Below are 27,331 nucleotides of genomic sequence, written 5' to 3'. Positions count from 1 at the left end.
TTTACAAACATAAGTTGGCAGAAACATAGACATAAAGCATATTTTGTGACATAGAAGTAATTTTAAAACAGTCAAGAAAAGCATGAGACAGATGAATTGAGTTTTGGAAAATTTATGCAGTTGAAAGTGAGATTATGATGTTGTCTAAGAGCTGATAGTCAACTTCTCCATGAAGTGAAATACCTGGATTTGTTTCAAAGTATATTAATGTATTACTATGAAAAAAAGTACTAACAATTTTATAGTATATAACAGCAAAAAGGTAGTTCATGTTGATTGTAGGAATTAATTTTTATTTTAAAAGGAAATCTATAATAAGCCCCATCCCAATCTTCTTGTTTTCAAGCATAGATACAGAAAACACTGATCTGACATAGGAAAAACAAAAGCTACTAATAGCCCAAGGAAATAAATAAATGACAGTAATAAATAAATTAATTAAATAAAAATCCCTTGTAGAAGCAGAAGTATTTTCTTTTCATAGCTTTCAATAGTTTTTGAAGAGTTACCAGGTTCTGCGAGTTAAATAGTTCAACCAAGCAATAAAACTGAGATAAAATCCAGGTATTATTACTCTCCAGGTATTATTACATTGGATAAATATCCAATGTCCCACCATTTTTGAGAACTGATACGGCCCCTTTGAAGACTTAATTAAAAATCAAATAGCATAGCCTAACACAAAGAACATATCCAGCAATACCCCAGAGTCTCAAAAACTGTGCTTTCATGTTTTAGCTGTAAATTATTTAAATCGGGTTCATCCAACAATATTGCTGCCTTTATTTTTCCTTGCAGTCTTCCCTGCCATCTCAGAAAAATTTTTAGTCCTGTTTCTTTCCCAGAGGAGCGTATAATGAACGACTGCCAGACACTGAGCAGTAATTACCCAGCTGGTTTGTTTATTTCTAATGCACATTTTTAAATAGAAAATTCTATTATATTGTGAGGGCTGCCATAACAGAGTACCACAAAAAGAGGTTGTGTCTGAAATAATTTTGCCTTCATATTTGAAAGGATTTTTTAATGGTATGGAATTTTAGGTTGACAGTTTTTATTTCATTACTTTAGAGAAGTTTCTCTACTGTCATTTGCCTTGATATGAAGTCAGCAGTTTTAATTTTCTTTGTTCCCTATACTTAATGTGCATTTTTCTATGACCTCGTTTATGATTTGTCATTGATTTCTGAGCAACCTATTATGCTGTGCCTTTGTATCATTTTCTTCTGTATATTGTTTTCGGTTTCATTGAAATTCTTGTGTCTGTGAGGCTATAGCTGTCATCAAATGTGATATATTTTTAGCAATAAATTTTCAAAATTTATTTTAATGTACCTATTTCTCTTTTTTGCTTTGGGGACTCCAATTATTTATATTTTAGGCCCCTTGAGGCTGTCTCACTGCTCACTTATGCTTTATTTTTTATTTTGTTATTTCATATTTTGTTTCATTTTGGGTAGTTTCTACTTCCATTTCTTAGGATTTTGGATGCCTTTATAACCTATGCATTATCTGCCATGAATCTCATCTGGTATATTTTCTCAGCATTGTAGTTTTAAGGTCTGAAAATTTGATTTGGCTTTTTAGAAAAATATACTTCGACTTTTGTGCAAACTATATCCTCTAGATTCATGAACATGATAAAAACAGTTATAATAACTGTTTTATTGTCCTCAGCTACTAATTAGTGCTTTCATATTTACTACGTGGGCCACAACAGTCCTCAGTCTGAAAATACTTTTGGTACCATTACTTAGTCAATGATTCTCTGTTTTCTCTACTCTATGCCCCTCGAACTACCTGTGTTTCCATTCTAGGTGATAGAAGTGTTATCAAGCCAACGGGGCTCACTGCCCCATGTGCTAGAAGACAATACTATGACATCAGGTTTTTGAGGAAAGGGAAGCTTTATTTTGCAAGTTGACTCACAAGAAGACAGGCATGTCAAACTCAAGTTTTTCTCCCCATGCTGGCTTCAAAGCAGTATTTGTATACAAAAAGTTTCAGGAGGTGGATTCTGAGATGATCAAATAATTGGTGGAAGGAAAGAGAAGGTCTAGAAAGTCCCTGGGCATACAGTTAACTTCATTCTATCGCATGGATCACATGTACAAAGTTGGAGGGAGCTGTTATGAAACATGCACTGAAAATTCAGGTTGCAATGTCAGCAAGCTCTTTCTGTGCAGACTCTAGTTGGCCATATTGAGTCCAACCAATTTCAGTCAGTGTTCTTTAGTTAATAAGCAAAGGGAGTTTCAGTGTTTCAGCAAGTTTTTGTTGTTGTTGTTGTTGTTTTGTTGTTGTTGTTGTTGTTTCCTCTTCTTCTTTTTTTAATCTGCCAACCTGCAAACTCAATAACTTCTTTTAGCCATTGGTTTCTTTAACTAAATCTTTGGGTCATGGTTTAAATCCCCCCTGTTCTATGTGCATTCTTCAGTCATGAGGGATTAGGGGCAACATCCATTCTAGCTTTTTCCTACTGACTAGGGGTGCAGGTTTGGGCCTAAAGGATGAAATCATTTTGCATTAAGTTGAAGATATTCTCTAATATCTGGTACAATATTAACATTTAGCATTATTAATACATTGGTTTCTCTTTTAACAGTTTAAAGGTTTAACATCAGAGGCAGCATTTGATAACCAAATGTCCAAAAATGAGCATTAGTAATAGGTAAAGTCTTAATTTTCATATGGCTTGGGGGCATACATTGAATTCTATGTGGGATTCAGAAAAATATATCTGAGAACTAGTTGGCACCTGGTTCTTCCCTGGGAATTTGTTGTGATTAATTAGCTTGTTGTCTTCTTATTTCATGTGTGTTTCAACTTCAGAAGATGTATTGATGTAAACACAACATGATATGTTAGCTACCATAGAAACTCTTTCCTGTTCCACCAATACTTAGTCTAGGGGTATTCTGTTATCCATTACTACTGTGGCTAAAGAGTTTAAAGATTTTTATTGGGCAGCTATGGCTTTAGCTGCTTCATTTGAGAAGTTACATAGGGTGATTGACAGATTTATAATCGTTGTTCATGAGAGGATACTCTCCATCATGGCAAGAGAATATTGCTAAACATAGGCCAAAATCTGTCTTCTTGGTTTGCAGGTAGGGTTTGTCTATTCCTGGAAAATAGTTTTAAGAAACTGGTCCAATATTGAGAAGCAGTGAAGCTATAAATAGAAAGAAGAATAGTCAGATAACCTAATAAACAATTAACTCTCTTGCATCAGCTGTCAACACATGCATAAAACCAGGGGTGGTCAATATGTTGACAAATAAATGCATATTCAGGAGGTTCACATAGTGTCCCTGATAAACATGGAAAAGTCTTCGGTTTACTCATAACAAAGACAGGTTAAAGAACATGTCATTGGTATTGGGTAGGATATAATCAGTTTGATTTTAAAAATAAGAAACAAATAGTAGGTACCGAACTTAACAAGATGGAAGAGAAACTCCAACATATATTGAATTATAATTCCTAGTTTAAGTAGTACTTCAAAAATAGATCCTATTCCTGATGGAAATCATAACAAGAAGTTTTTAAAATATATTATATGCAGGTTCATTAGGGACACTTATTGAAGCCAGGAAAAATTCAGGATTCAGTCTTGATTATAACAAATGATAAAAACTTAAAAACAATGGTCAGTGTTGGAATCCAATAACAGGTGTGTTATAGTTTGCTGTTGAAATATAATTTATCTTTCTCAAGCTTCTCATTTTTATCAGAGACAAATCATAGGACTGACTTGTTTGCAAAATAAGTTTTAGTCTTATATCTACCTGGCATGATTATTTGCATAAAGTGCAGCAATAATTGGCCTTATAAGCTTCTTTTTTAAAATTAGCTTTGTTGGAACCTATTTATAAGAAATTTTAGATTTTTAAAAGCCTTGAGTCTAGTAAAGCCATGGTTAATCCATCAGATTGTGGCTGTAAAATCTGTATGAATGAGTGTATTTCTCTCTTCTCAAGGTTCCAAAATATCTTGAGGTTCCCAGGCCTGTCAGAAAGTGATATTCTTTAATTATCAGAAGGACAGAAACCCTGTAAGGAAACATTGTAGACAAGGTACCAGTCCAGTCTTTCTAAGTTTTTCATTGGCTCTATGAAGTCAGCACCAATTTCTCAAAGCAGCCTGATCATATCTGAAAATATGCCATTCTAATCAAAGCCTTGGTAAAATAACCAGTGTCTCCAGTTGTATCCTGTTACAAAAGGAAACAGATTCTTATTGAACTTATGCAAATAATTGTATTGCCATTAATTAAGAATACTCACAAATGGCTTCCAAATTCTGGAGAAATCAGGTAGAGAGAAATATAAATACCTCAAATTTTTGTCCACAAAAATATATTCTATCTAATGTGTTGTCAATTAAAAATAAAGAAAAAAGGTTATCTTGACTCTGGAAAACAAAATATAAAGAGAATCAGCCATTTCAAATGAAAATGTCATGAATAAAATCTTCGTATTCTATCAGTTCAATCCTGTGTAATTAACTCTTGTTCTGCTTGATGTTAGATTAGCAGTTCTTATTTTAGCTTTTTACTTAGAGTCTTGAAAGTTTTTTCTACTCTGATGGTATGATGTCCAAAGTAATCTTGTGTTTAAGAGTACTTGTCAGAGTCCTTTCCATGAAAAGTAATTTAGATCACAGTTTATTGTAAATGCTTTTAGAGAAGAAGTTTAAACAATAACTCACCAGATGCCCCTCGTACCCACCGGTCTTGGGTATCACGTCAGGACCAGGCTGTGGTGGCCTTGTGTGCTGGCCATGGGAGAGTGGCTGGGGCTGAGAGCCAACGTGCCCTTGACATGGTCACTGAGTGGCAGCTCCTACCCTCCAGGAATTGTGGGTGACAGAAACTTGTAATAACCATGGTTAAAATTGGTTGAAAATTTTCAATTGGCAATAAAATTTAGCTATTTCTATTATATGTAGCACAGTAAGATAAAAACCAGAATCATCACATTAGAACCACCAGACTTCCATACATTTGACATAATCTTTAAAATATTTATATTAATATCTATATAAATATAACTTTAGAAAAGGTTTAATATAGTCAAAATTATGACTGATAGGATATTATATTTTTATAAATGTATATAATTTTTATAGAATTTATATGAATAACATACCTATAAATGTAACCAAAAGAAGATCCAGTATGATTTATCCTTTGATGATATTTCCAATATAATTTTAGGTCCTACCAAAGATATCAAAAGGTTCAAAACATTTAATCAAAACAGAATCACAGGTCATTTTTATGTAATGGTTACTAATTTAACTAGCATGATAATCAGAAGACCTCAAAAGCAATACAGAAAGTTACAAGGTTGTGAAAACCTTAACCCTTTTAAAGCTCAGTTTTCTTAAGTAATAAAAATAACCAATGAAGACAATGTATAAATTGCCATAATAAAGCATAAAATCTTTGTTTTAGGCCAGTCATCAAAAAGGTAAAGAAAAACCTTCTGCGGTACGATTGCTTCCCCTTATGGAAGGCCCATTTAAATAACCCAGAGTTAAAACTGATGAAAAGTGTACCTGAATTTAAGTAGACATAAGAAGAATGTATCTAAGGTTATAGAGAAATTTTAGCATTAAAACTAGTACCTTTAGCAGAAAGCAGGAGGAATACCTGATTCTTAGTGACAGCATGGGAAATTTCTTGGTTACCTGAAAGTATTTAGACATATCAAAAATATATTACAAAATAATGCTACATTTGAGGAAAGCATTGCTTTTTTTAGGCTTTCAAAATAAGCTTTTTAGCATTATGTCATAAAAACAGAATTAGAACCAGGGGAAAATATTACAGGTACTGACTGAAAATGTTCAAAGAGAGAGTTATCATTCCAGCCAAGCAAAAAGACGTACTTTTCAAGGGAAAAGGAACAGAAGGCAATGATGTGATCTGCAAATCATAGGTAACAAAATACCAGAAAAGTCGAACTTCTGTGGCAGAAATCTGAGAAGCTTTATAAAGACACAGATTTCAGAATTAAAAGTCAATATTTCTTGCAATATCACTGAGAACAAATCAACACTTTGATAAAACCTTGTTATTTTAACCAAAATTTTTAGTTTTGTATTAGGGCACTTTTAATGATACAGCTAATTTTAAAAACCTTATATACAAATCTATCCAATTGCAATCAGTTTTGACCTCAGGATAAAATTTCCATAAACCTTTCATAACTTAGTTTTTTTATTTTCCTCAACTTTTTATATACATTTAGGTTTATCTGTCATTTAAAAAATTTTCTTTAATTTAAAATAACCCTTAAACACCTCTAAACTAGACAAAAATCAAATTTTCTTAAGCAAAAATCATATTTCTATTTTCCTTATACATTGCAAATATGTAATTGTTTCTTTTATTCAGTAGTTTTAGTTACATATATCAATCACTGTATTAACGCTTAGTAATCCTTATTTTAGTGAAAAATCTAGGAAGCAAGAAATCTTGAATTGTCTGTCATATTTTACAGTATTTTACACATGAGAACCACTTTATAATTTTAGGAACATCTTTCCCTATAACATAAATCTTCTTAATTTGGAATGACGCAGATATTTAAAGTATATCTCTTATTTAATTTGACATAACTCTAAGATTTCAAAAATACATTAAAATTTTATTTAATAACATTTATTTTATTTATATTTATTTAGTTTATTTTTAATAATTCATATAGATTATGAAAACTAAAATATTAGACAAAGCTTGTTATATTTTAAGTTATTTCCTTGTTAACCATTTTATAGCCTGTAAATATTAGGTGTTCACCCAAGCAAGAACTTTAAATTACATGGACATTTTGCCAATAGCACAGAAGATTTTATTAGTTTTGTTAAATCAGTAATATTAAATCACTCTTGTTTATAAAAAAATTATATAAATAAAAATCATTATGTTTTCACCGGGTTTATAGCTTTATAACTTTCACGCCAAATTCTGACATCTTAAAATGTCTAACAAATGTAAACATAAAACCAGTAAACACAGACAAACACGAATGCAGACCAGACAATTCTGAAAATATTTATATTTTTATCAATAATTTTAAAATTATTTTTACTTACCAGATGATATGGTTTGGCTGTGTCCCCACCCAAATCTCATCTTGAATTGTAGTTTCCAAAATACCCATTTGTCATGGGAGGAACCCGTTGGGAGGTAATTTGATGATGGGGGCAGCTACCTCCATGCTTTTTCATGATAGTGAGTGAGTTCTCATGAGATCTGATGGTTTTATAAGGGGCTTCCCGCACCCCCTTCACCTTGTACCTCTCCTTGCTGCTGTTATGTGAAGAAGGATGTGTTTGCTTCCCCTTCTGCCATGATTGTAAATTTCCTGAGGCCTCCCCAGCCCTGCAGAACTGTGAGTCAATTAAACCTCTTTCCTTTATAAATTACCCAGTCGCGGGTATTTCTTCACAGCAGCATGAGAATAGACGGATACATGGGAGAATACTGAAGTCACATGAACCTGAAAAGCATCTGGGCTAATTTGCTTAATTTATGAGTACTCCTTTATTTATAAGCTAATTTGGCACCATGAAGATGCAACATGCAACATAATACATGTGTATATATAAACAAGATGGTTGAATCCTGCTTACTTTCCTGACAAAATTGAAACTTTTTCACATGTCTAAACTTTATTTACCCAATGGGTAAAGCAGTTTGTATAGCAGCTTGATTTTAAAAGAACTTTTACCTTTTTTTTTTCCTTTTGCCAAGCATCTTAGAATTACTAATATCATAAAAAGTCAGTTTTATCTCAACACTAGTAGAAAAGTCAGCAGATTCAAAATGGGAAGAAAAAATATAGATATGTGAAATAATTTAGACTCTTTTGTTGTAGGGTCTTTCTTTCTTTCCTTCTTTCTTTCTTTCTTTCTTTCTCTTTATTTCCTTCTTTCCTTTTTTTCATAATAACTATTTGGGCTCTGAATTTTCCTTAATGTAATTTGGCCATACGGTTTAAAATGCGCCCTAGAACAGGGCATAATAATTAGCCAGTTGGAGTCCCAGCAAACCTGGACTGCCTTAATGTTTGAAATTCCCATTCTGGTCATTTCTATGTTGTCCCCTTTAGTAAAGCCCTCCCATCTAGGGAGATGCTTGCCAGAGTGCGGACCAAAGTTTGATTGTCTGGTTCCCTGTTGTTTTAGTTTTAGATAATTTTTTTCTCACTGTAAAAGAGCTCAGCAAAGCAGGTACAGTAAAGCAGCAGAACCTTTTATTTTTGTTAGCTTTTATTTTAACCTTTTATTTTAGGTTCAGAGGGTACATATGCACATTTGTTATACAGGTAAATTGCATGTCCCAGGGATTTTGTGTATAGATTATTTTACCACCTAGGTAATAAGCATAGTACCCAATAGGTAGATTTTTTGATCCTCACCTTCCTCCCACCCTCCAGTCTCAAGTAAGCCCCTTTTTCTATTGTTCATTTCCAGAATGGCTATTATTAAAAAGTCAAAAAATAACAGATGCTGGTGACATTATGGAGAAAAGGTAACACACATACACTGCTGGTGGGAATGTAAATTAGTTCAGCCATTGCACAAAGCAGTCTGGTGATTTCTCAAATAACTCAGAACAGAATTACCATTCAACCCAGCAATCCCATTATTGGGTATATAATCAAAGGATTATATACCTTCTACCATAAAGACACATGCACATATATGTTCATGGTAGTAGTATCCACAAGAGCAAAGACTTGGAATCAATCTAAATGCCCCTCAATGGTAGACTGGATTTGAAAAACTGTGGTACATAAACACAATGGAATACTATGCAGCCAATAAAAAGAATGAAATCATCTCCTTTGCAGCAACATAGATGGAGCTGGAGGCCACTATGTTAAACAAACTAATGCATGAGCAGAAAACCAAATACTGCATGTTCTCACTTATAAGTGAGAGCTAAACTTTAAGTTCATATGAGCAAAACCTCTTAAATCCAGATTTTTAAAATCATAAACTTTATTCCTACACTGAATCTTGGCTCCCCAGAAAGATAGAAACACCACAGGACCAGAGCAAAGATGGGAGGAGGAGGAAGAGACAGGGAAGGAGAGGCAGGGACACAAGAAAAATGAGTTGAGTTTGTAAATTTTCCACATGCACCATTTTCTTTAGGTTTTTGTAGTTCATGGAGTCTCTTTCTTCCAATTGAGCATGTAGACAAATTCGTTTAGAGATATCATATCTTGTCCTGCATTGTTTTCTAAGTTTTGGCAGACTGTTGTTTCATAAATTTTGTTCAGTTCTTTTTTATAAGCTGGAGGATAAATAAATATGGTACCTGCTTTTCCATATTACCTAGAAACAAAAGTATCCCATTCCACATTGAAATTGCAGGCTGCTATCCTCTTTTGTTATATCCTGAGCACCTAAAGTAATAACCAAAATATAAAAAGCTATCTGAAGTGCTTATTAAAACAATAAACCAATAAACAGAGAATAGATTTGTCATATAAAAACATTGAGACCATATTTTCTTCAAGGCTGTGTAAATGTAAATCTGCCCTTTTGCTGAAACCCTCGATCTCCAAAGATGGTCACATCTTTACACACAGACAGACACAAACAATTAGAACTTCTTTCATGTTTACACACATCGCTCTTTCCATTTACTGAGAAAATTATTTGAGATTGAAAACCACATTAATCTCTCTTTGGTTATTAAAACAATCTACCATAGACTGGATTTGGCCTCTACTGTTTGGTGCTTTATTTTATATAAAACATCTCATTACAGAATCAAATACTTATTTTAGCTCTTATTCTATTTGAGCACTCTTGAGAATTTGATAGTGTGAATTACCACCTTCTTCATGAAAATTTGCTTCCCTGTCTCTAATTTCTTGCTACTGTCCTTTCTCAGATGCTGACCCCCGACTCATTGGAATTGATTCTGTATCCCATATGCTGAAGAGGGATAATTTTACTTCTCAGTTTTCTTTAGTGCTCTCTTACTAATATCTACATTTTGTTGATGTCGTCCTCAGCTCTTTTATTTTTATCCCCTGCTTTCCCTTTGCCTATAATTAGTCTTCTGAGGTAAGCCCATATTAGAGACAGGGGAACACGATACAAGTAATTTGGTTGCCATAAAATGAAATATTGTTGGCTCCAGAAAAGACATATATATTTAGCATACTTTGTCACATTACTGCCCTTTGGATTCAGTGTTTTTATAGTAATGATTGCACATAATTCCTGGTTTAAAAATCATTGTCTTTCATAGAGAAAAAATATAATAAATGCTTAATATTTTATTATATTATTATACATTATGTAATATATGACTTGATTAGATTACTTGCTGATTCCTCTCTTACTATATATTTTTCTCCTAGTGGAGAATACTTTTTCTTATTAACTTGTGAACTTCTTTTTTAAAAAACACCTTATTGAGATGTGACTGACATAAAAAAGCTGCACATATTTGATATAACAACCTGATGAATTCAGACATAAGTATACACCCATGAAATCAACACAATCAATACCATACACATATCCATCACCTCTTAAAGGTTCCTCTCAGCCTCTCTGCTTGCTATTATTATTCTTAAAAATATTTCCGTGCATGATATTTTGTAAGCCTCAGTAAACTATATACTTATTTTAGCTGCCTGGCCCTCTTTTTGCATGGCTGCTCAATTCTTGTTTGTTTGTTCATGGTGGTGAGATTCTTTTTAATCTCCTGTAAACATTTAGAAAAAAAGCTTATTGGAGAATTTGATGCAGTAACTATATTGATTTCCTCTTCTCATTGGTACCAATTAGGATTGCATTGACTTTAGGATTGAACATATTTTGAGATCTTCCTAGCTCTACTAAATTGTTATATTTATTTGTTTATTTAGTAATCTCTGATCATGTAAATTTTCTGAATGTTAGTACATGTCCAGAACATAATCATTGCTGCGTATCTTTTCTTATCTCTAGAGCAAAAGGCCCTTTACCATGTTTCTCTTCTCAAGGACATGCATTTTAAATAATGTATTTTCAGCTGATATACAGTGTTATCTTCCTATCCTCCTATTCTACTGATCACAATGTATACTTTCTTTGTGTATTTCTAATGACCTTTCTACTAAAACACTGATGAGAGATCTATCATGTTCAGTTGTCACCTTTATTGCTTAACTTACCCATATGTGTGCATTACAGGAAGACAGTAAGGGACTTTAAACTCTTCCTACTTAAATTATTTTAAAAACTACCAGAATCTTTCCTCAATTATTTAATTTCATCCGAGAGTTTGTATTAGTCAGAATTATATTTGCTTTCAAGGATTAGAAAAATATAGAATAACAACAGTGGTTTAACAAGGTATAAATGTAATTCTGTCTGTCCTCAAGGAGTCATAACATAGGCAGATAAGGGATGCAGATATCTTGCTATTTTTCTAAGCTTGGTATAACACCTGGTGGTTTCATATAGCTATTTAAGTCACAGACACATCTCTTTATAGACAGCCAACATGAAGGAAGATAGATGAAGAAAATTATCTCCTTTTTAACATGTTTTTAATTAAGATGATGCAAATATAGAAAGTTGCATGAAATATGTAAACCAGTAATGAAATGCCACAAGGCATTTAAAATATTACCCATTTAAAGATATAATTTTGCCACATACCACAAAAGCCCTCCATTTACTACCTCAAAATCACAATCCTTTTCTTCCTTTCCAAGGGTGATCACAACTGACTTCTATTGTAAAACATCTTTATTTTTCCTTATAGGTTTTTCACTTAAATGCATACTGCTAAACTCCTTGTAATTTACTTTTGCCTGTTACATGTAATATCAGTTTCTTTTAATCTATAAAATCCCTCTCTCTTTCTCATTTTTATTTTTTTGGCTTGCAATGTACGTATTGAAGAACCTAGATGGTGTCTTGTGAGTTTTTCACAGTCATAGTCTTACTGACTTAATTTCCTTGTATAGTTTAACACGTTCATTTGTCCTCTGAGTTATATGTAAATTTTTAGTTGAATCTAGAGACTAAGTCTCATTCAAGAATGATGATTTGCCAAGGTTGACAAGGTGAGGATGCGTTCTTTAGGAAGCACACCAGGGTTTGTTGTCTATGTTTGTGACGTTAACAGCTGTTGATGCTTGATGTATAGCTCCATTAATTTAATAGAAATTGTAAAATGATGACACAATTTCACTATTTTTGCTTAATTTATTTTCTGGAATACTTCTGTAAAGAGAAACTGTATCTTATCTACTATCTGGTTATCCAGACGTAAATTTGAACAGGAAACGCAAGAGAAATGCTAAATAGTCTTATTTTATTTACTAGTTAAAAAAATGGCTACTAGCATAATATAACGTGACCAAGTCAGTATAACTTCTGGGGGTGCGTGAGAACCAATATTAACGAATGAATTAAAGTAGTTTTTAAAATAATTTAAGTAGGAAGAGTTTAAAGTCCCTTACTGTCTTCCTGTAATGCACATTATTTGACATTTTTGTATCTAATTTAGGTATTAGATTTTGATGTTTATATTTTATGTTCTTTGGCCAGTGTGAAACTCATAGTTGATTCCAAAATTTGGATGACTTTCCCCGAGTGTTACATGAGAGCTACCTTTCTATGTACAATCCCAAAATAACTCAAGTAATCTTATACATTCCTTGATCTTTCCTATAATCAGCCATTTTCTCAAGAAACCCTGATTCTCTTTAGTAGAAAGTGGGATTTCAAATCAGTATCAGGCTTCATTTGATCAATTTCTATTGAATTGTTATAATTTCTAAGCATTTAGTGTCAAATCTTAGTTCAAACTTTGTGCCTCTTTAAAATTCATTGCTACAGAGTGTTTCTTCAATTTCTACAATCTTGAATCTGAATCTTTTTTATACCAAACGGAGTGTTGTTTTTTAAGAACATTGTGAAGAGAATTAGAGTACAACATAAATAATCATATTTTAATTTATACTACATGGAAACATTATCAGATAACAATACCTTCAACACCAATAATTTGATTGCTGACAAAAGCTCTTGCTAGTCTCACTTCAGTTTTTCACATTGCACTTTACCTATATTGACAGAGCAGCTAACTATTACAAACTATACATTCTTCCTTATACATCTCATTCACTGTTAGTTGTATGTGTAAATTTATACATTCGACGTTTACTAACAGTCTTTATGTTAATGTCTTTCCAGTTATTTTGATTATCTGATGTCCGGTATGAAAACATTTAGATTACTAAAGACAAGTTACCAGACACAATATTTCCTTATTGCCTGCATAGCGATGAAATTGTATACTTTAGTCATTATACTTGAAAGTCAGTGAGACTGTTTTAAATCCTTACCTTTGATTACCTTATATATATGTGTATATAACTATATACATGTATAGAAATTTCTCTGTCATCTCTTTGTCACTTTTGAATCTGCTATATAAAAGTTTAACAATTACAACAAAATGATGGAGAAATTAATTTATGTATTAAAATAGACGATGAATTTATTTTCTTCCTTTTTTAATCCTGGATTTTTTATAGTGTTTTGTTTTGTTTTGTTCATATGTTCCTTTAAGTTTTATCTTTAGCTCTGAAATATTTTTCTTTCCTTTCTGTTTCCTGTTATTCAATACCACATTTTAATTGTTTCTTTTGTGCTCATTTTGTGATATTTTCTTAACATGTTAAACTTTATTTTGAAATATTAGATCATGATTTTTATCTGTTTATGGTTACATCTTTCCGGAAAGATTTTGTTGTCTATAGAATTGCTATTATTATAATATGATTTTCTCTTGGAGAACTTTATACAAGACTTGAACTTGATATTTTTGTTTCTTTGCTGTTTTTGAACAGCAAAGCTTTTCTGCATGAGGGCTGCATTAGGTTAGTTTTTGTTTTGTTTTGTTGGAAACTGAAGGGCTTCTGCTGTTTTTGTAAAGTTCAAAAATATGGTGGTGACTTCTGCTTACATGTTTAATATGAAAATTGCTTGGACTCCATTCCTCCATACACTCCAGATTTTGTTACAAGAAAAATTTGAACAAACTAAAAATCCGTGACTTTTCTTAGACCCATCAGAGAATTGAGTTCACAAGGTAAACTGCCAATCTAAAATCTGGAGAGACAGGTACCTCCTAAAATCTGCTTACCCAGGGCAGAAGCCACTACAGCCATAAAAATACAAGAAGATTTAAATAAGATTTGAATACCAATTTTTTTGATGAATGTATCCAAGATGACTGAGAACTAGCATGAGAGTGAGAAGCTCCTGGGAGCTGCAGAAACTCCTAGGAGCTATGGGTGTGGGGGCAACTTTTCATGAGTCTTCTCTCCCAGAAACACCTCAGTTCTTATGATGAGGAGCCAAGAAACACACTCTCCTGCCTCTGGTTTAGGGAGAGAAAGAGTCACCATCGTGATGAGCCTCTATATAATCCTCTATAAAAATATCCTATGCTGGAGGATAAAGGACTTTGCCAGAGCCTTATCTGTTGATAGGGGAAATCCTCCTCATCCCAGCTCTCTTCAGCCTTCCTGACTCATCTGAAAGAAAAATTACCAACAAAAATAACAAAATAGTTATCGGGTGTCAAAGCTTCAAAACATAGAGAAAGGCTGTTTCAACCAGCATAGACAGTAGCAGGTAAGAAAAAAAAAAAATCAACAACAACAACAACAAAGAACCAGCTATACCACTGGAGAAATACTTGTCAAGGTAACATCCCTGAGACATAGGCTCCGCTATACAACTGAGATTTAATGGAAAGATTACAGAATTCTCCTCTTCTCTCACAATTTACTACCACAACAACCAGGCTACACGGTACCTCTCTCTAAGGAGGAGTAAGAAGGGAAGCCCAAAGTCAAGAGGGGAGACAAAACCAAGAACACTACAGGAATTTAAAGCCTCTAGCACCTAAATGTAGCTACAACATACATTAAGCACAGTCCAACTCCCAGATTAACAAAAATCCTCAGACTAAAGGTCTGTTTACCACAGTTTCTTTTACCCAATACAGCATATCTGGCATTCAACAAAAAATGTCAAGGTATGACCGCAGGTAAGAAAAAAACAATCTGAAGAGAAAAGCAAGCATCAGAAGTAGACTCAGATATGAAACAGATACTGAAATTATCTAATACAGAATGTAAAATAACTGTGATTAATCCTAGGGACTCTAACGGAATAAGTAGATACACACAAGAACAAATGGGTAATGTAAGCAGACAGTTTAAAATCAAAGAAAGAACCAAAAGAAAATACTAGAAATCAAAACAGTAAAGGCAATAAATAATGCCATTGAAAGGCACATCAGAAAATTTGACACAATGGGCACAAATACTCAGTGAGCTTGAAGATGGGTCAACAGAAACTTTCCAAATTTAAATGCAAAAATAAAAATAATAATAAAAGGAAAGCAAGAACAGGACATAAGGTATAACATAAGTGCAATTGAAACACCAAAAAGACAAAAAATACAGATTAACAGCACTCAGAGAACACCAAGTAATACCAAAAGCCAAAAACAAACAAAACAAAAATCTAAACATATTCAAAATATAAAAACACAAAGAGAAAAAGAAAATCTTGAAACTGAGTAGAGAGAGATAGAGGAAGCACCTTACCTAGAGTGGAACAAAGATAATTACAGAAAACTTCAGTCAGAAACTGTGCAAGCAAGAAGAAAGGGAAATTAAATACGTGAAGTGTTGGGAAAACAAACTATCAACCTAGAATTTTATATCCCCAGTTAAATTATCGTTCAAAATGAAGAGAAACAAAATACGACATCTCATTCTCAGATAGTCCATGGCTCTGTTTCTTTCTCCCAGTTGTATCTGCACCTTTTATTTCTTTGTCTCTCTTGCCCTCATCCTGCTTAGGTTAAATTCTACTCCCAGAAGTTGTTTTCATCACGAGGATTACTCTGGAATTGAGCTTTTGTTGATTTTAAGAATTCTTTTAGTCATAAAACTACAGATTTAGTTTTAGATTGGTCAAGAGCTTTAACCTCTTTAGATATTACTATTATCTATTGACATCGCCTACTGCCGAATAATTGCCTGTTTCGGCTGCTATCCTCAATTTTCCTTGCTGAGTTTTTGATTGAACCCTTGTTTGCTTTTCTCAGTTCTCAAACTGGACGGACTCCATATTCCTTACTTCAGAGTCTTCCTGCACAAATGCTATGCCTTGAAATCCTGAGGTAACTGGCACCGTAAAAGTCTTGTAAGCATGGGTGGTTCGTGATCATGACTTCCTGTTTGAGGAAACTTTACCTCATAATTTTTTTCTTTTATTGGATACATACTTTCGTTATCCAATTTGTGTTCTTCTGCTTTTACACTTGCATTTCAACACATTCAAAAGCTATGCCTCAAATATAAACTTTCCACAATCCCTTTTATATTTTCTCTCTTTAAAGACACTTCCTAAAAGCAGCATGGGACACTTACACATTCCCGTTTGAATACAACTTAGTCATACTGCAAACCCAGCTTCACACGAGCTTTAAACGTTTCGTTTTTATTCTTGCCTGCCATGTGCACTGCTTAAAACCATCCGTTCATTTCGTGTCCGGAATTGGTGGGTGCTTGGTCTCACTGACTTCAAGAATGAAGCCACAGACCCTCACAGTAAGTGTTACAGTTCTTAAAGGCGGTCTGTTTGGAGTTTGTTCTTTCTGCTGTTCAGATGTGTGCAGAATTTCTTCTTTCTAGTGGGTTCGCAGTCTCCCTGGCTCAAGAGTGAAGCTGCAAACCTTGGCAGTGAGTGTTACAGCTCATAAAAGCAATGTGAACCCAGAGTGAGCACCAGCAAGATTTATTGCAAAGAGCAAAGAAACAATGCTGGGACACCAGACGGTTGCTACTGCTGGCTCAGGCAGCCTGCTTTTATTCTCTTATCTGGCCCCACCCCATCCTGCTGATTCGTCCATTTTACAGAGAGCCGATTGGTCTGTTTTACAGAGAGCTGATTGGCCTGTTTTGACAGGGTGCTGATTGGTGCATTTACAATCCCTGAGCTAGACACAAAAGTTCTCCAAGTCCCCATTAGATCAGCTAGATACAGAGTGTCGATTGGTGTATCTACAAACCCTGAGCTAGAGAGAGTGCTGATTGGTGCATTTACAAACCTTGAACTAGAATACAGAGTGCTGATTGGTGCATTCACAATCCCTTAATTAGACATAAAGAGTCTCTAAGTCCCCACCAGGTTAGTTAGACACAGAGTGCTGATTGGTGCATTTACAAACCTTGAGCTACATACAGAGTGCCGATTGGTGCATTCACAATCCCTTAGCTAGACATAAAGATTCTCCAAATCCCCACTACACTCAGGAGCCCAGCTGGCTTCACCCAGTGGATCCCGCACGCACCTGGGGCCTCAAGTGGAGCTGCCTGCCAGCCACAGGCCGTGCGCGCGGCCTCAAGTGGAGCTGCCTGCCAGGCCCCCGCCATGCGCCGGCACTCCTCAGCCCTTGGGCAGTCGATGGGACCGAGCGCCATGGAGCAGGGGGCGGCGCTCGTCCGGGAGGCTCGGGATGCGCAGGAGCCCTGGGTGGCGTGGGAGGGTCAGGCATGGCTGGCTGCGGGTCCCGAGTCCATCCCCGCAGGGAGGCAGCTGAGGCCCGGCGAGAATTCCAGCACAGCGCCAGTCGGCTGGCATTGCTGGGGGACCCGGTGCACCCTCCGCAGCTGCTGGCCCGGGTGGTAAGCCCCTCACTGCCCGGGGCCAGCCGGTGCTGCGAGTGCCGGGCGGCCAAGCCCACGCCCACTCGGAACTCTAGCTGGGCCGACAGCACCGCGCGCAGCCCCGGTTCCCGCCCGCGCCTCTCCCTCCACACTTCCCAGCAAGCTGAGGGAGCCAGCTCCGGCCTCAACCAGCACAGAGAGGGGCCCCCACAGCGCAGTGGTGGGCTAAAGGGTTCCCCGAACATGGCCAGAGCGGACGCCGAGGCCGAGGAGGCGCCAAGAGCGAGCGAGCGAGGGCTGCAAGGGCTGCCCAGCACACTGTCACCTCTCAGTTTCATAAGGTACTTTAAAACCATGGGCTACTTTCGTCAAAGAATGTAAGTTGAGGAAGGCAGCTAGCGGGACAGAAATCTGTACAGCTTTGTTCTGGAAGAATGATTCGAAGGGAACACACAGTCCCTCATTCTGTTGCTCGGTAAAGGCATATAGGAAAGAGGCAAATTCACCAGGCTGACAATATCAAACCGACTGTTTCAAATCTTTGTTTATTTTATAATTTGCTAAACTATGCTTGCGGGTCTTTCCCCATTTATTTTGTTTTTTTTCTGATTTCCCCACAATTTTTATGAAGTTCTTATTTAAAATCCTTCTGACAATTTTGAAGTTTCCTGAAAATGCTTATCATTTTCATGAAATGCCATCTTATTTCTATGAAGAAAGAAAATCTCATAATTATACAAAATATTTATATAAATACACATTTAAAAACTTGAACCTTTTAATATTTATATCTTAATATATTTACATTCTACATTTTTCTGTGGTAATATAGATCAACTAAAATAAGAGATTAAAATGTGATAGCTCAATTTCTCTAGCTTCCCTCCCAGTTCTTTATTAAAGCTATGTTTGATATTTCTTATATGTTATTTATTTCCATCATTTGGTAATTGGTTGATGTTTAGTTTTACTCATTTGTAAAAATACTTGAAGGTAGTTTTTTATTGTATAAATAGGCTCAATTTGAAAGTTTACAATGGGTTGGATAATTTGGGGGATGCTGTTCACTTTGACTACACCACGCTTTAGAATAAAACACTCCACCAAATTAGACATTTTGTAATCTCACTAGTAGCTAACTTCTGTTGAAATAAAACAAGTCAGCATGATGAAGTGGAAATAATTTTAAATGAGAAGAGATGCCTATTGGGTTGTAGACCAAGATATTCCAGTATCTTGCACTAAAGTTCATGTACAGGTCATGTACAGGCACTTATTTCCACTAAATGTTTCTGCAAGTTTTAATATTTCAGGAGAAGATCTATGTAAGTTATTTTTCTGTAACTTAAGATTTCTGATGTAGTTCTTGGCTTCCAAAGCTTTCAACTGAAAGAACATTGCTACTATTAGAGGGAACACATTTTATCTCTGCCTGGTTGACCTTACATGTTATGGAAGCTCAGCAGGTACAGTATTTCTAGCATCTCATGGCGTCTTCACTTTCTCAACACAGAGGAAATTGACTTCTCTGATAAGTAAACTTAAGGCGGAAAAAGCCTTAGTGGGTTCAGTTTCCTCTATTTCTTTTCTTCATAAAACATTCCTCCTTCAGAGGTAGGCTTTCCCAACTGTGGTTGGCCAACCGTGGGCCAGATTCCCTGAAGGGCCAGCACTTTCTCCCTCCTTTGGAAGCAGGCTGATCAGGAAAAGGCGTGGAATCTCCACTGCTTTCCTCCAAGCAGTAAATTTTACAGCAGCATGCTCTGACCCTTAGAGCAAAGTAGGAAGGCTGTAGTTTTTATTGGGATTAACATCAAAATCCCCAACATCTAGATGATTAGCCTTCAAACTATGAGAAATAAACAAATAGTAAAAACTGGGGAAATCAATAGAGCCTGGGTTAAAAAAAATCTTGCACAGAGTAAAGACTTTAAATGTTTTAGTCCTTTGCCACATATCGGGTGATGCAAATTGTATGGGGTAATGCCGATTGATGTTTAACTTTCAAGGCTTCATCCCTTGACAAATACGTAGGTTAAAAGGTCGCAGTAAGGAGGGGTATCAAGGACAAGATTCAAATGGAGGAAACAGAGAGACTTATTGTGTCCGGAAGTTTTGGACTTTATCAGGGTGAATATTTGTTACTATTGCTGTTCTTCTCAGCTAGGTCTGCCAGAAAAGTCTTTAAGTAGATAAATCATATATCTAACTATCATAACTACTACAGAGCACAGATATGTGAGGTATAAGGTGCTAACTTGAAATATGGGGTGGCACTCCACATTGTAGTATTATTAGGGTGTCCCTAATTATGTGCTTTTTTTTTTGAAATGTTGATTTCAGTAGCCATCAGAGCATACTGGGGAATAGTGGAGGGAATAACACAACCTTGAATCCATGTGGTTCGTCAACATGACTCGAGTAACTACCCACCCACCACTTCCCTCTCCCGTGCATGATGTTTCTGTTAGGTACTTACATATAAGAGAGAAACATCATAGCAGATCTCGTACTGAATTTAGTGCTCTGTGCAAGAGAGAATGATCTTCAAAAGTGAAATGGTGATTAAAATTTTTACCATACTAAGAAAAACTGTTCTAGAATTTTTCCTTACATGCCTGTGTATTTACTGTAATAAATATAAAGTTGTAATTCTACATAACTAGTATTAAGTGTTGACACTCCAGTGAAGCTAAGCACAGAAGATTTTCTATTAGCACTTAGTAACCTTTGAGTTTTTGTAATAGTCTTTGGTAACATTATGATGTTCTTGAAATAGAACTTTACTGGATAGAAATTCTAAGGGTTGAGATGTACCTATTTTTTAAAGTTGGCTATTGCGGGTTTTCAGTGCTTTGATATTGCATATGTTTTGATGTTTATTTGGAGCCTTTAGAGTAGAGATCCAGCCATTCGAAATTTGACATTTAGTTCATGCAAAGCTAGCTATCTGGAAAGAACAGTGACACCCATAGAAGTCCTAGTTCATTGCAATCCAGGCTCAAATTGGGATTGAAACTCAGAACTTTTACAAATGAAACTGAGGAATAAGGAGATAGTAGCAAGAGAGGTCAATGTTTGTAACTCATAAAGGAGAAGTTTTGATTTAAGAATTTACTTTCTTTGATACTGAGATTTTAACTTGCAAAGATTTGCTTCTGAAGCTTTGATTTCACCTTAGGATTTTGTGGCATCTTTTAGCTGTTGTTATTATGTTACTAATGTGTCATTATGCAATTTTCCTAGATTTTTTTTGTTTAACAATTATATGATGTTAAAAAAGTTATAATATCATTTAATATTATTGTTTAACCTTCAATAAGCAGATTGCATTATGTGGCAGAACATGAGTTGAAAAATACAAAAGAAAATGATGTTTCAGGTTTGAAATGAAATACTTTTTGATTAATAGAATAAATATTCTATTCAGATGCACTTGAGAGTTTTTTTCCAGGCAAATTCTAATTGAATTGACAGAATCCCACTAAAATACAGAAGAACTTACTGGTTTTGGCAGTGTGGATTAAGGAATGTGAGAGCAGAACAAATTGCCTCCTATGCCACAGAGAGCCAAAACTCTGGCTAATCATAGGCTTAATGTTCAATCTCAACAGGTAAATTAAGAAAATGAAAAAGAAAAAAACTGGGAAATCTTGAAAAAATATTTTTCACCATTCTTGATGCTTCTTTTTGATGTTTAAACAAGCCCAATAATATGCAACTGCTGGCCTCTCTTTACCCTTTTACTCATTCTACCAAAAAAGTGTTGGAGTTCTTTCACTGAATGATAAATTTGGGAAGAATCACCAGAGCCTGACTTGTATGTCTTCCAAGTAGACTGACCATGAAGTGATAGAGATCTCTGCTCTTCCAAGGACAAGACTTCCACATGGTCAAACCTGCCTTAGTCCATAATATCTGCAAAAGGGTAGATAAAACAGATCTTATCCCAAAGTGATGACCGCCAACTGAGTCCAAGCTATAAGTTGTGTGTTATGTATGTGTGTGAATGTGTGTGTGTTTCTCAAGAAAGTACTGAAAAACTTCAAGATCAAGTGAATTAGAAAATCATAATTAAGTCAAGGAAAACCAGCAAGGTAATTATGACAAGGGCAACATTTGGAAAAGCAAGAGGAGTTGGGCTATTACCTTAATGCCTGTATAAACAAAACTGTGGGCAACAGATTTTCCTCCCAGTTTGATTCTTAAGACCTATTATTTAAATTAAAGTCATTGCATTTCTTATAGTGAAGGAATGAAGTTAAATTAGTACTTAGATGGGAAATTATAGCACTTAAGGATTAAGTGGGAAACAAAAACCAGTGGCTTAAATTTTCACCTTGGATTTTTAGAATAAGTTTAAAATGAAACGCAAGCAGCAGAAAGAAATAAATGTGAGTAAAATAAAATAGAAAGCACAATAAGAAGATAAAATCAATGAAATCAAAAGCTGATTATTTTAAAAGATCAATACATTTGATAAACTGCAAACCAGATTCATCAAGACAAAGACAAAAATCACCAATGTCAGTAATGAAAGAGTTAACAGCGCTGCAGATTTTATAGATGTTAAAAGGAAAATAAAATAACATTATGAATAATATATACAAATAAATTCAGCATCTTAGATAAAATGAACACATTGCTTAAAAGTCACATGTAACCAAATCTCATTCAACAAATAATAGCTTATAGTTTAAAATCTTCCCACAAAGAATCCTATAGGCAAAGATAGTTTTGCTGATTAATTATACAAAGCATTTGGATGAAATATTACCAAACTCTTCAGAGTTGGATTAAAAAGAGCATATGAGGAAACATGAAAATATAATCACAAAACAAAAGAGACAAATGAGAAGTGAAACAGGCCCAAAGTTAATCTAGAAAATTGAGATATTTTGTAAATTTAAAGTGTTCATGGATATATAAAACAAACCTGACAACATTGACAAATAAGTAGAATATATAAAAACACAACAAATGGAAACTCCAGAACTAAAACGTTCAGAAATTAATACAATAGGTGGAGATAGGGCATAGCAAATACAAGACTAGTGTTACTTGTTACTTAATATTCAAAGGATTAACTTTGCTTTTGTAGAAAGCTAGACTCAGTAACAATCCAGATTACTTTAATCCGATTAGGGCTTCAGTCTTTGCAAAGGCCAATTAATTTCTAGTTCATTCTTACTGCTATTGTCTAGCCTTTCTGGGCCACAGATTACAGGATTGCAGGTGGTGGGAGAAGGTGGTTACCAAACGCTTTTTGTAGGTGGTCCTGAACTTCAAATTGCCTGCCTAGTTCTATGAACTTTCTAATGGTTCTGCTCAACTTCTCAATTAGTTAGGCACATCTGTAAGGAAGATGCATTTGGTCATATGATATAAGTGACTCCAAATATACGATGAATCCACTTATGCTTTTTTCTTTCTTTTGGTCCTTGCCTCATAAGTTTACATTGCTTTTTTGTAGCTCTCTGATGTCTCAAATTACATCTTCTTACTATTTTAAACCAAGTTTCTAATTATTTTCCACATAACTAATTTTCTGAGTTACCTTGTCTATGGATATCAGAGGTAGCACTTAAGTGTAATACAATGACAAAAATAAACTAAGGTATTTTGGAAACATGATTGGTTGACATACTTCTTGCCACACAGTTCATGTTATACTACCAAATATCTTCAATTAGCGGGGGTTCTCTATGGCAGTTGCCCAGTGATTGACTTGAATTCAGCAGGTTACACATTCATATTTAAGAATGTTTGCGGCCTGGAGCAGTGGCTCACGTCTGTAATCCCAGCACTTTGGGAGGCCAAGGTGGGCGGATCACGAGGCCAAGGGATCCAGAACATCCTGGCCAACATGGTGAAACCCCCTCTCTACTAAAAATACAAAAATTAGCTGGGTGTGGTGGTGCATGCCTGTAATCCTAGCTACTCAGGAGGCTGAGGCAGGAGAATCGCTTGAAGCCGGGAGGCGGAAGTTTCAGCGAGTCGGGATCACACCACTGCACTCCAGCCTGGGTGACAGAGTGAGACTCTATCTCAGGAAAAAAAAAAAAAAGAATGTTTGCAATGTGTTTTGACACACTGCAATATATAGTAAACATAAATTAGTTAAGTGATTGCCCACTCAGTCTCTGGAATCAGACAGACTGAGTTTATGTGATGTTATATTTACTAGCATTTTGACAGTGGGCAATTTTATTTTGTTTTATTTTATTATTTATTTATTTATTTATTTATTTTGAGACAGAGTTTCACTCTTGTTGCCCAGGCTGGTTAGAGTGCAATGGCGTGATCTCCGCTCACCGCAACCTCCGCCTCATGGGTTCAAGCCATTCTCCTGCCTCAGTCTTCCGAGTAGCTGGGATTACAGGTGCCCGCCATCAAGCCTGGCTAATTTTTTGTATTTTTAGTAGAGACGGGGTTTCTCCATTTGGTCAGGCTGGCCTCAAACTCCCGATGTCAGGTGATCGCCAACCTCGGCCTCCCAAACTGCTGGGATTAAGGTGCGAGCCACTAAGCCCGGCCGACAGTGGACAATTTACTTAATAATCCGTGACTTGGATTTTTCAACTATAGAATGATGAAAATAGTATATTATTCTTACAAAGTTTGAGTAAAATATAAAAGCAATAATGACACTGTGTATTCTTATGGACCAAAGCCTCCTCCACCAGCTTCAAACTATTTCATTGATTATTTTACCTTATATATTACATTGGAATTCATGTGTTTTGTTTGTGAATAACAGCAGTCTTTGCTGTCAAGAATTAGTCTATCAGTCAAGAATTTGACAGAAGTACATTATTTTAAATAATTTTGTTAACAATCTCAAAGCCAGATATAAAGAAACTGACCATCAGATAGGTTAAGAAATGTAAAGTTATATAAGTTTTTTTCTTTATCTTCAATAAATAAAATGAAAATAGGGCACACAGTGTGCAAAGATAAAACCCAAACAAAGGCAAAAAGCAGCAGCTTTAGCTGAACACAATGAATATTTCAGAGAATAAATAACATCACCGACTACAAATGTCACCAAGAGTAGAAAGAGTACTAGAGAGAAAGAAGTTCAATAGCAAAGAGTCAATTTGGCTAGAAAGTTTACCTTTTTCACCGGTCTTTCAAATAGTAACTATCTGACTCAATAACAATAAGTACATATAATTTTTTGCTATATCTAGATGTTCTACAAACTTTCATAATGATTCAAAATGTATTAGTCCATTCTCACATTGCTTTAAAAAAATACCTGAAATAAGTAATTTGTAAGAAAAGAGGTTTAATTGAGTCACGGTTCTGCAGGTTGTACAGGAAGCATAGCAGCTTCTGCTTCTAGGGAGGCCTAAGGAAGCTTCCAATCATGGCAGAAAGGAAAAGGGGAACAAGTACATCACATGGTAAAAGTAAGAGCAAGAGAGTGAGGGAGGAGGTGTTACATATGCTTGTAAACAATCAGATATCATGGGAACTCAATGACTCGCTTGGGGACGGCACCACAGGGGATGCCTTCATCTGGCATTCATTTCTTAGGAATGCCAAACCATTCATAAGAAATCTGCCACCCTGATCCAATCACCTCCCACCGGACCCCACCTCCAACATTGGAGATTACATTTTAATATGAGATTTGGGCGGGGATATACATCCAAACTATATCACATAACTTTCCCAAACCTCTCTTTTTCTTGAAGCAGGGAAAGAGAACTATACTTCTTCCACAAAGTAGTTTTCTCTTCAACAACTTACCCCTGCCAGTACCATCCAAGAAGGGTATTCAGTAGCATGATACTGTATACCTTTGACTACTCACCAGCCATATTTGGGTAGCTGCTATACAGAAATTAAACTTTCTCAGTTTGTGCTATAAAAAAGTTTAAGAAAGACTCATCAACATCCAATAAGCCCCTAAGTTTTGTCTTTTCTACTCCCAAAATATGTGCTGCACATGCTCATCCCCATCTGGCCTCATCGCCACCATCTCTGTGAAGTACATAAGCATCTTTTCACAGGTACTGAAGCAGCAACAATCTTGATCATTCTAACCCATTCTTCACAAAGCAGCTGGAGTGAAATATTTAATAAGAACTGATCATGTTACATTCTTGCTTAAAATGAATCAGTGCTTTTTCATAGGCCTTGGAATATAATACAAGCTCATACCATAACTTAAGAGAATCCCTTATAAGAGACTTTCAGTACTAATTCTCCTAGCATCAGCTCAGGCCATTCTATCTTGCACTTTTTGCTCCTGACATACTTGACTTTTTCCAGGCCTTTTAATCTGTCAGGCTCAGATTTAAATGAGACATATACTAATCGCTTTACCTGGAATACATTTACTGACACTTCTATTGGCCCCACCCCCATCCCCATGGCTATCTCCCAATCATCCGCAAAATATCATACCACCTGTAAAGCTTTTCCTGACCCCATACATTTTCATAAGAAATCAACTACTGCATCTGTATTCTCCTGTTCCTGCTGTAACATAACATGTTATGTAATATAACATGTCTTTCTGATTTGCTTTCCTACACCCAGTAAGTGTTGTAGTGTTTGGTGCACAGATAAAAATGAAAATCAGATTTCTTATGGAATTGTTCTTTCATATTGGACCCAGAAGTCTCTTGTGAACTCCATGTATTTAACCTGCAACTAAGAAATAGCGGATGCTTCTTTACTTACCCTTCAAGTGTTTGTTCTCTGAATCATTCCCAGAGCATATTGGCATTTTAAAAGTATAAAAATATTGTTTTAGAGCATTTCTCATAACACCCCAGAGTAAGGAAATAATAATGCACATCAAGGTTTTAATTTATCTTATGAGCAGCTTCTCCTATCACCCTCTCTATTTAAAAAAAAAATTGATTAGCAAGGTCAAGGTTCAGGGTAGTGGGATTTTTAGACCTGAGTTTGAGGTGAAGAATGTGGTATCAGCCAATTCTCTCAGTTTGAACTGTGAACCATCAACATAGCTCATTTAGGGTATTTGCAAGATCAGTCTAGTGTATACGGAGATTAAAAGGCTAGGGAAAAATGGACATAGTACCCCTTCCCAAGGAGCTTACATGCTAGATAGGGAAATTAACATTAAACCAAAAATTTTATACCAATGAATCTATAAATACAAACTGAGATGTGTGTTGTAAAAATATAAAACATAGTTTCATGGGAACTTAGAACAAAAGATTGTAATCTAAACTGTTATTGGAAGGGAAAGCTTAAGTTGAAATCAGAAAAACATAAAATTTAATTGAACAGGTAGAAAGTATTCCAGTGCAGGAAAAAATAGATGCAAAGACCCTGAATCAGGAAGAATTACTGCAAAACAGTGCAGCTGAAAGAACACAATGGGGGGCCAGGACACAGTCATTATCTGTTTTGGAAAAACTGTGTATTAGGCCATTCTTGCATTACTATAAAGAAATACCTGAGACTGAGTAATTTATAAGAGAAGAGGTTTAACTGGCTCAGTTTTGCAAGCTATTCAGGAAGCATGGCGCCATCTAATTCTGGGGAGATCTCAAGTACTTTTACTCATGGTGGAAGGCAAAGTGGAAGCAGGCACGTTACATGGCAAA

General features: G+C 35.4%; 1 long non-coding RNA gene across 1 annotated transcript; it reads right to left on the bottom strand.

Moving 5' to 3' along the window:
- Positions 1-1,891: 1,891 nt before the first annotated feature.
- LINC02431 (long intergenic non-protein coding RNA 2431) lies at positions 1,892-20,450 on the bottom strand. The gene is made up of 5 exons (NR_038838.1): positions 20,218-20,450; positions 5,635-5,697; positions 5,154-5,224; positions 4,714-4,847; positions 1,892-3,175 (listed from the first exon to the last, which is right to left on the bottom strand). It is a non-coding gene; the product is annotated as a long intergenic non-protein coding RNA 2431 (long non-coding RNA).
- Positions 20,451-27,331: the final 6,881 nt, after the last annotated feature.

This window comes from Homo sapiens, chromosome 4, assembly GCF_000001405.40.
Source record: "Homo sapiens chromosome 4, GRCh38.p14 Primary Assembly".
Taxonomy (NCBI): Eukaryota; Metazoa; Chordata; class Mammalia; order Primates; family Hominidae; genus Homo; species Homo sapiens.
This window is presented reverse-complemented; position numbering and strand designations above follow the sequence as displayed.